Source organism: Homo sapiens, chromosome 2 (genome assembly GCF_000001405.40).
Source record: "Homo sapiens chromosome 2, GRCh38.p14 Primary Assembly".
Lineage (NCBI taxonomy): Eukaryota > Metazoa > Chordata > Mammalia > Primates > Hominidae > Homo > Homo sapiens.
In genome coordinates this window covers 158,846,238-158,863,292 of record NC_000002.12, presented here as the reverse complement: position 1 = coordinate 158,863,292, position 17,055 = coordinate 158,846,238, and the positions used below count along the sequence as shown (strand labels likewise).

The window sequence follows — 17,055 nt, the reverse complement described above, 5'->3', positions numbered from 1 at the left end:
TAAGAAGATATTGAGATGAGACCGTGCTGCCGTGCGGCTGCCGCAGGACACTTTTAATATCCCTGTTTCTCAGGCTGTAGATGAAGGGGTTCAGCATGGGGATGGCCACCGTGTACATCACTGAGGCCACTGCAGCCTTTCTCGGGGAAGATGACACATCTGAACTGAGGTAGCCTCCAATGCCTGTTCCATAAAATCAGCAAACAACTGACAGGTGAGACCCCCTGGTGGAGAAGGCCTTATGCTTCCCACCTGATGATGAAACCCTCAGAATGGAGAAAACAATTTTATCGTAAGAGAAAAGGGTCCCCGAGATGGGAAGAAAACCAAATATGGCAGCAGGGAAATACATGATTATGTTATTGGTGAAGGTGCCACAACATGCAAGACGGGGAATTGAGAAGGGTCACAGAAGAAATTAGGAATTTCCACATCCTTGAAGCAGGTCCTTTGTAAGGCAATCAAGTTGTGCAGCTGGGCGTCTAAAAGACTGAGAAAAAAAAAAGACAACAAAACTAGAAAGCCACAGAAACACGGGTTCGTGATGGCTGAATGACATAGAGGGTGACAGATGGCTACAAACCGGTCATAGGCCATCACACTCAGGAGCATGTCTCTCTTCCATGCCTCCAAAAATGGCAAAGAGAGACATCTGAGTCAGGCAGCCTGCATAGGAGATGACTCTGCTGTGAGACTGGATGTCCACAATCATCTTGGGGACCGTGGTGGAGGTGAAACCGATGTCAGGCAAGGACAGGTTGGAGAGGAAGAAGTACATGGGGATGTGGAGGTGGGAGTCAGGGGTGACGGCCAGGATGATGAGCAGGTTCCCCAGCACCGTGACCAGGCACATGGACAGGAACAGCCGTTCTGGATCCTCTGAGCTTCTAGGAGGAGGAATATAGAGACATCTGTTAGATTCTGTGGGTCTGTAGAGATTGGACAACTTTTGCCTAGAAAAGAGGGTTGAGAAATCGGAAACAAGTAAACTGACCCCCAGCATCATGTCTGCGTTTTGGATAGAAGCAATTCACAAGTCATGTTTTCAGATTTCAGAGCAATCCACACTCAGCAATAGTTTGCAGTTCTGACAAACTCAATTGTCTTCTAATGCTTTCATCATTGATTTCTGTGTTATTCACTTCTTGTTGTACACACCTGCCTCAGAGACACCAGATTCAAGAATGTTCCAAGAACCAGATCATCCTATATAACAAATTCGTAATTGCTAGAAAATACAGCCTATCTTTACTGAAGGAAACTATGTAATAAAACCATTCTCTTCACTTTAAGAAAAAGGTTATCCTAATTAAAGGAAATTAAGAACTCAAATATTTTATTTTATTCGAATAGATTGATACAAATTCCCTTGATTTAGAACATCTGTAAACACTGTATAACTGCTGAGCCCATGCCATCTGGAAATGAAATTAAAGTTGATAGTTCATAAGCAGAGAATAGTTCCACAGACCGGTTGGATCCTAGTGATTTCATCATTCTGTTTTCTGGCTTTTCTCCTTCAAGAGAGGAATTGCTTACTCAAATCGGTGGGTCTTGTTTTAAAATTCATGGAAGCTATAACTCCTGTCCTTAGCTTCGGTGGACTTAGCGTTTTCATCAGAACGTTTGGCCGGACGCGGTGGCTCACGCCTGTGATCCCAGCACTTTGGGAGGCCGAGGAGGGCGGATGACGAGGTCAGGAGATCAAGACCATCCCGGCCAACATGGTGAAACCCCGCCTCTACTGAAAATACAAAAACTTCGCCCAGCATGGCGGCGCGTGCCTGTAGTCCCAGCTACTCGGGAGGCTGAGGCAGGAGAATGGCTTGAACCTGGGAGGCAGAGGCTACAGTGAGCCGAGATCACACCACTGCACTCCAGCCTGGGCAACAAGAGCAAAACTCCGTCTCAAAAAACAATAAACAAAAAACACACGCTCTGTCACACTGACGTCACACTGATGACAGCCAATTTTTGTGAACCAAGGAAGTGTCAATTCAATAATTCACGTAGATGTTTACTCTGGCTATCTCCTATGTGCCAAGCAAGATATAGGCTCTGGGGAATCAGAAACAAAAGAGACTCACTTGTTCCTCTCACAATACTCAGTACTTACTGAGATAAGGACAAAAGAAAATGTCCGGTCTGGAATGCAGGGAAACCAGAACTTCAGGTCAGGGGATATTTCCGTCGAACCGTATGGAGTTTAAGCTGAAAATATTAACGAATGTATCTAAAATTCACTTTGCCTTGACTTTATGCATCCATCACATAGAGATCACGCAGCGGGCAGCCACGATCGGTTTCATCATCGCTCACTTCCATTGGATCAACTAGAAATCAACTGAGATGAGAGTGCTGAGTCTCAGAGGATGGACGTCTCAGCCCTTGCCATACAGATAAGTAGGAAAGGTGGTGTTGAAAATTAATGGCCAGACTCTAAGTCCCGGGCACTAAACCTGATGGTCTCCCAACCCTCAAAATGTTGTGGGTTCTTTTTTGTTTTTGTTTTTGTTTTTGAGACGGAGTCTCGTTCTCTTGCCCAGGCTGGAGTGCAGTGGAGTGATCTCGGCTCACTGCAACCTCCGCATCCCAGGTTCAAGCTATTCTCTTGCCTCAGCCTGTCGAGTAGCTGAGATTACAGGCACCCGCCACTACGCCCGGCTCATTTTTTTCTCTTTTTAGGAGAGACGGGGTTTCACCATGTTGGCCAGGCTGGTCTCGAACACCTGACCTTGTGATTCGCCTGCCTCAGCCTCCCAAAGTGCTGGGATTACAGGCGCGAGCCACCGCGCCCAGCTTCCAAAAGTTTTCAACAGAGCTCAGAGGTCTTAACCACAGGCACATCTGAGGAGCATTTTTGAAATGGTTTCCAGCTTCCTCAATAGGAATGGAAGCCAAACCCCGAATTGATGACTCCTTGGAGGAAGTCGAGAGCTGTAAGCAAAGCCAGGAACAGGGGCAAGGGAGAGATGCATCCCGAATGATCCTGTGCCAATTCTTTCTGGAATCTTTGATGTGATCTCAGCTGCCCTTTCCATACTTGACACAGTGCTTATGGCACCCACTGGTCTAGCTGTGGTCTACAAGGAACCCCCAAAGGGAAGGGCACAGTGAGCAGGGGCATCGGCCTGAGTGACAAGGATTGGAGGGGGCAGGTTGGATGCAGGGAGAGGAATGGCCAAATGCCATGTGTCTGGCCTTAGACTGCCTAGTTCAAATTGGACTTCACCGTTTTTGACTTCATGATCTGGTACAAGTTACATGAAAATGTGTTGCTCCTTTTCTAGTCTGCAAAATAATCATGAAATGTGCACTGATAACTGGGAGACTATGCAGATGAAATGAAACAAGTAGCATAGACCACAGAGCTCAGAGCCTGGCCTTTAGGAAGCCCTCAGTAAGGGTTCATGTTGCCGTGGTGTCTGTCATCATCCTCTTTATCCTCATCATCATCTTCATCATCTTTTTGTTGTTCTCAGGGAATAGTTTAGAGGGACTCTTTCCCTGCTCGCGTGGGTGAGATGTCTATGAAAAGGACAACCAGTGGGGGAGGGAAGCACAGTTTTGAATAAGATTTCTGAGAGAGACCCCCCACCCCAACCAAGAACAGAAACTCCACGGTCTGCTGAGCTGACAGTTTGCACATTGGTCTCCTCCCATCTGCCCACGGCACTCTCCCATTTGTCCTGAGGATGAGGAAACAAACAAGGCTCCCAACCGTCCCTCAGCACTCACTGAACTGCCCTTCCCCTCTGCTGGGCCATGACCACGGAGAACAGGTCCACTGTCCTCCCTGCGTGGTGCACATGGGAGGCTCAGCCTCCGTCCTCAAGGCTGGCAAGAAGACAGGCCGAGACATGAGCCTCCTGATACAGGTGACGGGTGTGGAGCCCACAGGACTGCAACCTCACACTGCAGGGCTGGAGGCACAGACTGAGTATTTACTATTCTATGGCCTGGGGGTCTCAAGGCATAGAGCTCCTCATTAGCCAGAGTCGCCCAAGTTCCCCAACCTCTAAGGATTTCCTCATAATCATGCAAGAAGAAGAAGGGAAAAGTCAGTGTCCACAGAAGTTTTGGGGCTCTTCCTCTAATCAGGAGAGAGCTTGTGTGGATTCTTCGCTTCTTTCTTTTCTTTTTCAAGATCCAAGTGCTTTAATTTTCATCTTTTAGTATGGGAAAATATACCACGTATAAATCCTAAAAATTATAAATAGAGATTCTTGCATATAGAATGGCCAGTATGAACATTTACAATTTCCACTAGTTTTCAGTTTAGAGTTTAATCACATTAGGTACATTCACATTGTTTTGCAACCATCACCGCCATCATCTCCAGAACGGTTTTAGCTTTCCAAATGGAAATTGCACCCATTAAGCAAACTCTCCATTCCTCTCTCTCGCCCACCCCTGGGGGCCACCGTTCTATTTTGCAACTCTATGAGTTTAACTACTCTAGACACTTGATAGAAGGGGAATCATACCGTGTTTAATTTTCTTTGTTTCTTTGTTTTGGAGACAGTCTTTCTCTGTCACCCAGGCTGGAGTGCAGCGGCATGGTCTCGGCTGACTGCAACCTCCACATCGTGGGTCCAAGCGATTCTTGTGTCTCAGTCTCCCGTGTAGCTGGGGTTACAGGCGTGCGCCACCACGCCCAGCTAATTTTTGTAGTTTTAATAGAAACGAGGTTTCACCATATTGGCCAGGCTGGTCTCGAACTGCTGACCTGAAGTGATACGCCTGCCTCGGCCTCTCAAAGTGCTGGGTTTACAGGTGCGAGCCACGGAGGCTGGTCGTGTTTATCCTTTTGGGATTTATTTGTTTCACTGGCGATAATGTCTTCAAGGTTCATCCATGTTGCAGCCTGTGTCAGAAGTGCCTGCCTGGCTTTTTCGGTTTTTTATTATTTATTTATTTATTTTTTTGGTTCTGTTTTGTTTTGTGTTTACATGGAGTCTCACTCTGTCACACAGGCTGGAGTGCAGTGGCACAATCTGGGCTCACTGCAACCTCCGCCTCCCGGGTTCCAGCGATTCTTGTGCTCAGCCTCCCGAGTAGCTGGGAGTATAGGCACGCGCCACCACGCTCGTCTAATTTTGTGCATATTCAGTAGAGACAGGGTTTCACCAAGATGGCCAGGCTGGTCTCGAATTCCTGACCTCGGGTGATCCGCCCACCTCGGTCTTCCAAGATGCTGAGATTACAGGCGTGAGCCACGGCACCGGCCAGAAGTGCCTGCATTTTTATGGCTGAATAGTCTTCCGTTGTATGAATGAACTGCACTGTGCTTTTTCATTCATCTGCCCACGAACCCTTGGGTTGCTTCCCCATTTTGGCTGTTTTGAGTAACGCTGCTATGAATATGGGTGTACAAATCTCTCTTCCACTCCTGGCTTCTAATTCTTTTTGGTGGGTACCCACAAGTGCAACTGCGGGAACATCTGATCATTCTGTTTCTACTTTTTCCAGGACAGGCCATACTATTTTCCCCATTCCTTCACGGTTTTACATTCCCTCCAATCAGATTCGAGCATTCCTACTTCCCTCTAGTTTCACCAAGGCTTGTTCGTTTATCATATCCATCCTAATATGTGGTATCACATTCTTGGTTTGATTTGCACTTCCCCATGATTAGTGATTTTGAACATCATTTTAGACGCTTATTGGCCATTGCTCTATCTTCTTTAGGGACACGTCTACTCGAGTCTTCTGACCATTGTTAATGGGGTGCTTTGGGTTTCTTGTTGTTTAGTTCTAGCTCTTCTTTATATATGATGGATATCAGCCTCTTTTCAGAGATATGATTTGCAAATCTTTTTCCTAATCCATGGGTTATCTTTTCACTGAGTTCACAGTGTTTGCTGATGCACGAAAGTGTCTGTCGTTTAGATGTCATCCAAGGAATCCAATTTTCTTTTGTTGCCTATGCTTTTGGTGTCATATCCCAGAAAGCATTGCCCAATCTGATGTCGTGAAAGTGTGGCCAATGTTTTCTTTGAGGCATATTATACTTTCAGCACTGGGGGTGAGGTCTTTGATCCAGTTTGTGTTCATTTTTGCACCTGGTGTGACATAGGGTCCACCTTCCTTCTTCTGCATGTGGAAATCAAGTTTCTCCAACACCATTTCTTGAAAAGGCTGCTTTTCCACCAATGAACTTTCTTAGCACTCCTGTGAAAAATCATTTGAACATATAGGGAAGAAGTTATTTCTGGGCTCGAAAACAAACAAACAACAACAGACAACAGACAAGGATACAGCATGGCCCGGGCGCGGTTGCTCACGCCTGTCATCCCAGCCCTTTGGGAGGCCGAGACGTTCGGATCACCTGAGGTCAGGGGTTCAAGACCAGCCTGACCCACAGGAAGAAACTTCCATCTCTACTACAAATACAACATTAGCTGGGCGTGCTGGGGCATGCCTGTAATCCCAGCTGTTTGGGAGGTGGAGGCAGGACAATCGCTTGAACCCAGGAGGCAGAGGTTGCGGTGAGCCAAGATTGCACCATTACACTCCAGCCTGCGAAACAAGCGCAAAACTCCGTCTCAAAACAAAAAACCAAAAACAAAAAAACCAGCATGATTTCAAGAGCAGAAAGAGAATAGCTGAAAAACCAGCATAAGGAGAAAGTTAGGAAGCTTCTTACCAAAGCATCTGGAAATATGCAAGAAATTCTTGTGAACTAAAATTTTCATACTGTGCTGTCAAACACTAGAACTCACTTATTCCATCTTTCTGTATTTTGGGACCCAATTATCCCCTTCTCTTCATTCCCCATCCCACCCCTTTTCTTCCTAGCGTCTGCTAACCACCTTTAGACTTTCCACCTTCCTGAGATTCCTTTTGTGTGTAGGTGTGTGATGGCATCTCTTTCTGTTGCTCAGGTTGGAGTACACAGGCACAATCCGGGCCCACTGCAACCTCCGCCTCCCGAGTTCAAGCGCTTCTTGGGCCTCGGCCCTCCCAGTAGCTGAGACTACAGGCACGCGTCACCACGCCCGGCTAATTGTTTGTGTTTTCCGTAGAGACGGGGTTTCACCATGTTGGCCAGGCAGGTCTCGAACTCCTGGACTCAAGTGATCCGTGCGACTCGGCCTCCCAAAGTGCTGGGATTACAGGCCTGAGCCACCACACCTGGCCAAGGTTTCCTTTTTTCTTTCTACATAGAAGTGAGGACATGAAATATTTGTCATTCTGTGCCTGGCTTCTTTCATTTAATATACAGACACGCAGTCTCATCCATTTTGTCTGCAGCAGAGAGGATTTTCTTCCTTTTTAGGCTGAATAATACTTCATTGGGTGTGTATACCACAGTTCCTTAACTGAAACAAATTTCTAAAGAGCAAATATTTTTAAAATGTCTCGGAATGTGAAACTTCAGGGATACTGTGCCCATTTTATTCTTTTCTATTTCCCATCTTAGGTATATGCAAGTGTATAACAAAGCAGCAATCAATGTGTGTATAAATCTATAACTTCAACAAATGTAAAATGTAAATGCTAAGTGGTGGCTGGGCGCGGTCGCTCACACATGTAATCCCAGCAATTTGGGAGGCGGAAGCGGGCGGATCACCTGAGGTCGGAAGTTCAAGGCCAGCCTGACCAAAACGGAGAAACACTGTCTCTACTAACAATACAAAAAAAAAGAAATTAGCCGGGCATGGTAGCGCACGCCTGTAATCCCAGCTACTTGGAAGGCTGAGACAGGAGACTTGCTTTAATACGGGAGGCAGAGGATACAGTGAGCCGAGACCTTGCCATTGAACCCCAGCCCTGGCAACAAGAGTGAAACTCTGACTTGAAAAAAAAAAAAAAAAGAAAAGAAAGGAAAAGAAAGAAATAGAAAATGCGAAATGGTAAGAAAAAACAGCATAATAAACATTTGTATGCTGTTGATGGACAACGCATTTGAAGGTAATATATGAGGAAATCATATCACAATTAATTTCTGTTCTTACTCATTGGAGCTTGATGCCTCTGAAAACTTCGTCTTTGGAACCACCTCCGGTGGTTTAAAAGAAAAAAAAAATCCACATACTCACATAGGTGCAAGGAAATCAGAATCTCAGGTATTGAGACCCAGGCCTCACCATTTGTAAGCTCCCCAGGTGATTTGACTCAAAGCCAAGATTGAGGAATGGCGACCTGGATCTCTACACGTAACCTGCCTAAATCGATTCTCTAGAAGCAGTTTATAAAGAAATTCCACATGAACTCTGGAAGAGGATATGAATTTGATTTACAGTATGTCCTCACTTAACATCTTTGAAAGTCTCTTGGAAACTTCACCTTGAAGCAAAATGATGTATAGTGAAACCACTTATTTTTCATCAACAGTATAACTACACAACTTTGAACAACCAGTGGTGTTGGAGGACCTCCTGTACATTGTTTCCATAAAGTCAGTCTTCAGGGAATTCCAAAATGAAGAGAGGACTTCGTGTATATAAAAAGATGGTTGTGATTCCACCTGGATGACAGGGTTATTGCTCAGAAACTAAAAGAGGCCGCCTAGGTATAGAGGATTCTGTCATGAGGTTCCTGCTAAACAGAGGATCCCAGAATACTGACCCATTCCAGTTAAAGGCATAACGAAGAAAGCAATATTCACAAAGGAAATGCAGAAAGGAATAAAAGCCATCAAGCCACAAAAAGAATGTGACTAAGGGGCGGGATTTGCAGATGCAGAGATTTAATGTGGTTGCCCTTTCTCACCCACACAAGAAAAAGGATGGAACAGATCATGAGATTCCACTGTTCTGCTGCGCAGCCTCCGCAGGGCACTTTGTATGTCCCTGTTTCTCAGGCTGTAGATGAAAAGGTTCAGCATGGGGGTGACCACAGCGTACATCACTGACGCCGCCACACCATTCCTGGGGGGTGGTGACAGAGCTGAAGTCAGGTACATGCCAATGCCTGTTCCATCAAATCAGCAAACAACTGCTAGGTGAGAGCCACAGGTGGTGAAGGCTTTATACTTCCCATCTGACGATGACATCCTTAGAATGGAGGGGACAATTTTATACTAAGACAAAAGGATCCCTGAAATGGGAAGAAAACCAAACATAGTACTATCAAAATATATGAATATGCTATTGGTGACGCTGTCAGAACAGGCAAGTTTGAGAAGTTGAGAGGGGTCACAGAGAAAATTAGAGATTTCCACATTCTTGATGATGGTGAATTGTAACACAATCCAACCGTGCAGCTGGGAATCCAACAGGCTAAGGAAAAAGGACACCAAAACGAAGAAGACACAGAGGTGAGGATTCATGATGACTGGGTAGTGCAGAGGGTGACAGATGGCTACAAAGCTGTCATAGGCCATCACAGTCAGGAGCATGTCTTCTATACATGCAAAAAGGACCAAGAAAGACATCTGTGCCAGGCAGCCCGCATGAGAGATGACTCTGCTATGCGACTGCATGTCCACAATCATCTTGGGAACCGTGGGCGAGGTGAAACCGATGTCAGCCCAGCACAGGTTGGAGAGGAAGAAGTACACGGGGGTGTGGAGGGGAGTCAGAGCTGACAGCCAGGATGCTGAGCAGGTTCCTCAGCACCATGACCAGATACATGGACAGGGACAGGGACAGCAAAGCGAGGACCGGCAGCAGTTCTGGATCCTCTGAGAGTCCCAGGAGGAGGAATTCTCAGACACCTGTGAGATTCCGTGGCTCCGTGTGTCTTGGACACCTTGAGAAGGAAAGAGGATTGGAAAAATAAAAGATAAAAACCAGCCCTTAATGCTGGATGCGAGCAACTCACAAGGAACATTTTCACACTTGCGGACCATACACCGCCAGCAATGTTTCTCAGTTGTGACAAATCCAAAAATCTCAGAATTATTACGTGGTTTACTTTTTTGCTATACAAGTCTTTCTGTACATACTACTTTAGAGAAAATCCACTGAAGAATATTAGAAGACCAAATCCGTGATCTCAGTAAAATACGGCCTACTCTTTTCAGAAAAAATACAATGCAGTGAAAATGTCCTTCTCTCTTTAAGAAAAAGATCTCAGTCTAATTGAAAGAAATTAAGAAGCCGTGAAATACACTCTGTTTTATTCTGACACCGTGCTACAAATTCCTTTGACGTAGAATATGTAAAAGGACGACACAAGAGCTAGGACCCCATTATCTAAAAACGAAATCGAACCTTAGAGTTCTCAATCGGAACACCTTTTCACATGCCTGTTACTTTTCATATTTATTATCATCCTTAGGTTTTCTGACATCATTTCTTCATAGAAGTACATGCACACTCAAATATGGGAGCTGTGTTTCCAAATGAATTTAATATATAACTCTTGGCCGAGCGCCATGGCTCACACCTGTAATCCCAGCACTTTGGGCGGCCGAGGCTGATGGATCACCTGAGGTCAGGAGTTCCAGACCAGCCTGGCCAACGTGGTGAAACCCCGTCTCCAGTGAAAATAAAAAAAAATTAGCCGGGCGTGCTGGCGGGTAACCCTAGCTACTCGGGAGGCTGAAGCAGGAGAATCCCTTAGAACCTGGAAGGCAGAGATTGTACACCCTGTGATAGGATTTTTGATATCCTAGGGAGATATTGCTCCTGACAGCAGAGTGAGCGTACACCCTGTGATATTGTTTGTAATATCCTAGAAAGATATTGCTCCTAATATCACGGTGGCTCTACACCCTGTGATATTAATTGTAATATCCTACAGAGATATCACTCCTAATAATACAGTGGGTGTACGACCTGTGATATGATTCATAATATATTACGGAGATACGACTCCTGATATCACAGCGAGTGTACACCATGTTTGCACACCCTGTGATCTTATTTGTAACAACTTAGAAAAATATTACAGCTAATATCAAAGTGGGTGTACACCCTGCGATGTTATTTGTTATCCACTAGGTAGATATTACTCCTAATATCACAGTGAGTGTACACCATGTGTGTACAGACTGTGAAATTATTTGTAATACCCTAGGAGGATATTACTCCTAATATCACAGTGGGTGTACACCCTGTGATAGTATTTGTAATCACCTAGGGAAATACGATTCCTAATATTACAGTGGGTGTACACTCTGCGATGTTATTTGTAATGTCCTAGGAAGATATTACTCCTAATAGCAAAGTGGATGTACACCACGTGTGTACACTCTGTGATATGATTTGTAATATCCCAGAGAGATATTTCTCCTAACATCACAGTGGGTGTCCACTCTGTGATATTATTTGTACTATCCTAGAGAGATATTGCTCCCAGTATCACAGTGGATGTACACCCTGTGATATTATTCATAATATCCTAGAGCGATATTACCTCTAATATCACAGTTTCTGTACACCCTGTGGTATTATTCATCATATCCTAGGGAGTTATTATCCCTAACATCACAGAGCGTGTACACCATGGGTGGACACCCTGTGATGTTATTGGTAATATCCTAGGGGGATATTACCCTTAATGTCACAGTGGGTGTTTACCATGTGTGTACGCACTGAGATGTCACTCGTAATATCCTAGGGAGAAATTACACCTTGTGTTACAGTGGGTGTACACCATGTGTTTCTATTCTGTGATGCTATTTGTAATATCTTAGAAAGTTATTAGTCCCAGTGCCACAGTGGGTGTATACCATGTGTGTCCACTCTGCGATGTTATTCGTATTATCCTAGGGAGACAGTTCTCGTAACATCACTGTCGGTGTACATCATGTATGTACTCCCTGTGGTCTTATTGGTTATGTCCTGGTTTGATATTACACCTAATGTCACCGTGGGTGCACACCATAGGTGTACATTCTGTGATGTTACTCGTAATATCCTAGGGAGATATCACTCCTGTTATCACAGTGGGTGTACACCCTGTGATAGTATTTGTAATATCCTAGGGAGATATCAGTGTATACCCTGTGGAATTATTTGTGACATTTGAGGGAGCTATTTCTCCTAAAGTCGGAGTGGGTGTACACTCTGTAATATTCTTCCTAATATCACAGTGGTTGTACACCGTGAGTGATATTTTTTTCTAATATCCAGCGAGGGAGAGGATGATATTGCTTCCAATATCATGGAAGGTGTACACCCCCTTGTGATATTGTTCCGAATACAGGAAGGAGAGGATGACATTATTCCCAATATCACTGGGGGTGTATCACCTCCTGCCGGGATATTGTTCTTAATATCCGGAGGTGGAGAGAATGATGTTACTCCCAATATCCCAGGGGGTGTACACCACCCCTGTTTGTAAACACCCCCTGTGATATTGTTCCAAATGGCCTGTGAAAGAGTCAATATGACTCCCATTTTCGCAGGGGGTGTTCAGCCCTGATGATATTGTTTTCTAACATCCGGGGAAGGAGAGTGTGCTGTTACTCCCAATATCGCAGGGTTTGTACACCTTTTTGTGTTTTTGGGCCCAATATCCAGGAAAATAGAGGATGATATTACTCCCAATATCGAAGTAATTGTACAGCACCCCTGTGATATTCTTCCTAATATCCAGAAATGAAAAGAATGATATTACTTCCAACAGTGTCAGAAATGTATACCCGCGCTGTGATATCTTTCCCCATATCCAGGTGGGGAGAGGATCATTATTATTTCCAATGTCGCAGGCTGTGTACACCCCCTCTGTGATCCTGTTGCTAACATCCAGGTTTGGGGAGGACGACATTACTCCCAATATCACAGGGGGAGTACAACCCCCGTGACCTTTTAGTCATTTCCTGGGTGGAGAGGATGATATTACTGCCAATATCGCAGGGGGAGTACACACCCTTGTGAAAATCTTCCTAATATCCAGAGGGAGAGAAGATGATATTACTCCCAATACCGCAGGGGGTTTACACAGCCCTGTGATACTCTTCCTAATATCTACAAGGAGAGAGGATGATATTACTCCCAATGTCGCAGGGGGTGTACATAACCCTGTGACATTGTTTTTAATATCTAGAGCAAAAGAGGATGATATGACTCTCAATATCGCAGGGGGTGTACATCCCTCCTGTCCTATTGTTCTGATTACCCTGGGAGGGAGAGGATAATGTTACATTGAATATCGCAGGGAATGTACACCCTCCCCCTCTGATACCCTTCCTAATGTCCAGGGGAAGAGAGGAAAATTTTACTCCCAATATCGCAGAGGCAGTACACCCCACCTGTGATGTTGTTCCCAATATGCAAGGGTGGAGAGGATGATACTATTCCCAATATCGCAGGGCTGTTCACATCCCCAGTGACATTTGTCCTAATACCTAGGGGAGAGACAATTATATGACAGCAAAGTTCGCAGGATCTGTACATCCCTTCCTGATATTGTTCCTAATATCCAGGGGGGAAGAGGATGATATCAAATATGAAAGGGGGTGTACACCCCCCACCCCTACGATATTGTTCTTAATATTCATAAGAGGAGACTATGATATTACTGCAAATATCGCAGGGGTTGTTGACACCCCCCTGTGATATTGTTTCTGATATCCGGGGGGTGGAGAAAATCATATTACTTCCAATATTGCAGGTGGTGTATACCCCACCTGAAATATGGCACGGATTATCCAAAGAGGGAGACGATGGTATTAATACCAGTATCAAAGTGTGTGTACACGCCCCTTGTGATATGGTTTTTAATATCCAGTGGGCGGGAGGATGATATTAGTTCCAACATCCCAGAGGCTGTACACTACCCCTGTGATATTGTCCCTAACTTCCAGAGGGGAGAGGATGATATCACTGCCAATATCTTAGAAGTTGTACATCCCCTGTGATATTGTTCGTCATATCCATGGAGGCACAGGATGACATTCCATTGATTTTCGGGACAGGCGTTCACGCACAATGTAATGTTGTTCCTAATATCCAAGAAGGGAGAGGATGATATTACTCTCAATAAAGCAGTGGGTATACATTACCCCTGTGTTATTGTCTCTAATATCTGGGGCCAGGGGAGTGGGGAGAGGATAACATTCCCTCAAATTTAGCAGATGGTTTGACGCCCCTTGCTTGTGGTGTTGTTTTAAATATCCAGCGGGGAAGACAATAGTACTATTTTTGATAGTCCGATTCATCTGCTCCACCTTTCTGGAACTCTGAGGCCGGGAGGCGGCATGCAGTTTCCGTGTGATCCCCAATACCTTTGCCGTCTTCTGTACCAAGGCAGCCAAAAACGCAGGCCCGTTATCTGAGCCGATCCGTAAGGCCAGTCGAAATCTAGGAATCAGATCTCAAAGAAGCACAGGGGTTACTTCATGAGCTTTCTCAGTTCGTGTTAGATAAGCCTCCACCCAACCAGAGTAGGTACGCCCAAGAACTAGTAAATACTTGTTACCTCCACACTTTGGCATCTCTGTGAAGTCTACCTGGAGATTTTCAAAGGGGGCTGCTCCGTAAGCTTGTATGCCGGGTGGAACGGCTGGACCTTGCCTCGCATTATGCTGTCGGCAGGTAACACACCACTACCTCACCGTTTTGGCAAGGGCTGACAAATGCGAGATGTACAAATACCAGCCTAACAACTTTTCCAGTGACTCCTGATCTACATGGGTGGTTTCATGCACAGCCAGTACAACTGCACCTCCTAGCAAGTGTGGCACAGCTACTCTCCCATCTGGTAACCGAATCCATCCTTCCTGCATCACTTGTCCTTCCCTCTACCTGGAGAAAGTCCTTTTCTTCTTTAGAAGAAGTAGGTCCAAGATCAAGTGCTTGAGGGAGCACTGATGCCCGGAAGGGGGCAGATGCTGCTTTTCGAGCCTCTGAGGCAGCGCGCGAATTCCCCAAACGCAGCAAGGTGGAAGCTCGCTGGTGTCCTCTGCAATGCACAACTGCCACCTTGTGGGGTTTCCATACTGCTTCTAATAATTGCAAGATTTCTTGTTGATATTTTCTGTCTTTTCCCCCAGAGTTCAATAGGCCCTTTTCTTTCTATCACGCTCCATGCACTTGAAGGGTTAAAAAGACATACCAAGAATCAGTGTAAATGTTGACAGTCTCACCCTCACTGAGTTCTAAGGCCCGAATGAAAGCAATGAGTTCAGCTTTCTGGGCTGAAGTGCCCTGGGGCAACGATCTGGCTTCAACAACAGTGTCCAGGGTTACCACGGCACACCCTGCACCTCTCTCTCCTTGGGGGTTGAAGAAGCTGCTCCCATCCACGTATAGTTCCAAGTCTACTGATGCCCAAGGCTGGTCCTGGAAGTCAGGTCTGCTAGAGTCAACTGAGTCCAACACTTCTACACAATCAGGCTCGACAGGGCTCTCTGATACCGGGAGAAGGTGGCAGGGTGTAGGGTGTTACAAACTTCAATGGTTATACGGGGATTTTCACAGAGCAAAGTTTGGTACTTGGTGAGCCTGGCATTCATTAGCCAACGATGTCCTTTAGTATTCATTAAAGTCACCACAGCATGGGAGGCCTTTATGTTCAGGTTTTGCCCAAGAGTCAGCTTATTTGCTTCTTGTCCTAGCAGGGCAGTTGCTGCCAAGGCCCTCAAACAGGGGGGCCATCCTTTAGAAACCCCGTCTAGTTGTTTAGAGAGGTAGGCCACCGGCCTCAGCCAGGGCCCCACAGTTTGGGTTCAAAGTCCAGCTGCCATCTTTTCTCTCTCTGATGCATACAATGGAAAAGGCTTTGGCAGATCAGGTAGCCCCAGGGCTGGAGCTGCCAGAAGTTTTTCCTTTAACTCATGAAAATCTTGCTGTTGTTGGGATCCCCATTCCAAAGTTTCCCAGTCCCCACCCCATTTGTGACCTCATACAAATTCTTGGCTATTACTGCAAAGTTTGGGATCCACAGTCAACAAAACCCCACAGCTCCTAAGAATTCTCTCACCTGCCTTCTGCTCTTAGGCTCCGATAGATTGCAAATGACCTGCTTTCTTTCTGATCCCAGGCTGTGTTCCGACCCGTCGGATAGTAAATCCCAAGTAACGTACCTGCTGTCAGCAGATCTGAGCTTTCTTCTTGGACACCTTATACCCACAGTCCTCCATGGGCTGGTGTAGGGCATCTGTTCCCTTGGCGCACCCCACTGTAGTGGGGTGTCCCAGCAGAAGGTCATCAACCTCGTGGAGCAACATGCAGCCTAGGTCTCTGGTGAGAAACTTCTGGAGGTCTCGAGCCAACGCCTCCCCGAAGATGGTGGGGGAGTTCTTGAACCCTTGGGGAAGCCCGGTCCAAGTGTACTGACTAGTGACACCTGACTCCGGATCATCCCACTGAAAGACAAGCAGCTTCTGCCTCTCATGGGCTAAGCTGATAGGAAAGAAAGCACCTTTCAGGTCCAATCAGGTGAACCAGCTGTCCTCAGCTGGCAGCAACCCCAACAACGTGGACGGGTTAGGTACTGTTGGAATTTGAAAACAGGATATTTAAGCTTTTTTCGCTGACAACCTGAAAGAGCCGCTACTCAGGTTGGCGTGAACTCCATCCCTGGATAATGCAGACCTGCTTCTGTAAACCTCAAGTCTGTATATTACCCACTTTGATGGTGAATAGCCACTGGGGATGAGTTTTTCCATGATCCCAGGGAAAAACTCCATCATCAATTGCTCTGAAGGGCATGACGTTATTATTATCATACTGACCAGAATAATTTATGCTGTAAAATTGCTTTGAAGTGATGTTATAGAGCTCAGAGAAGAGAGGTTTCCTTGTGGGGAATTGTGGATATTTGAAGCTTACCTTGTCTTTTTTTTACTTCTTCCCCATTATAATCACCACCTCAATCTCTTAGATAGGGTCCTCTGAGTAGTATTAACCAGTCTTTGCCACTTTGGGTGCTAATGCTAAATACTTTGCCCTTAAGAATCTCCTGTGACCAGTAAAACATCATCATCTGAATGTGCATTACACAGTTGGTTTCCACAACTCAGTGATTTATAAAGCCTGGATAGTAGTAGTATTTGAATGTACATAAAGGCAACAAAGAACACAGCTTTATGAAGTGCTAGACAGGGTAGAAGAGTGAAGAAGAGCTATAAAACTTCAGGTACAAAGGACTAGGGGAAGTCTGAGTACTCAGGCAGAACATAACTGTAACAAATGGAGCTAAGGGCTTTCCAAA

General features: G+C 45.5%; 1 long non-coding RNA gene and 2 pseudogenes across 1 annotated transcript in view; all 3 read right to left on the bottom strand.

Annotated features, from left to right (window-relative positions):
- OR7E28P (olfactory receptor family 7 subfamily E member 28 pseudogene) lies at nucleotides 1-947 on the bottom strand (annotated as a pseudogene).
- LOC124907901 (uncharacterized) overlaps nucleotides 806-17,055 on the bottom strand; it is a 34,420-nt gene continuing 18,170 nt past the window's right edge. Inside the window, exon 3 of the long non-coding RNA XR_007087272.1 lies at nucleotides 806-887. This is a non-coding gene — a long non-coding RNA (uncharacterized LOC124907901). The remainder of the gene's footprint in view (nucleotides 888-17,055) is intronic.
- OR7E89P (olfactory receptor family 7 subfamily E member 89 pseudogene) lies at nucleotides 8,621-9,789 on the bottom strand (annotated as a pseudogene).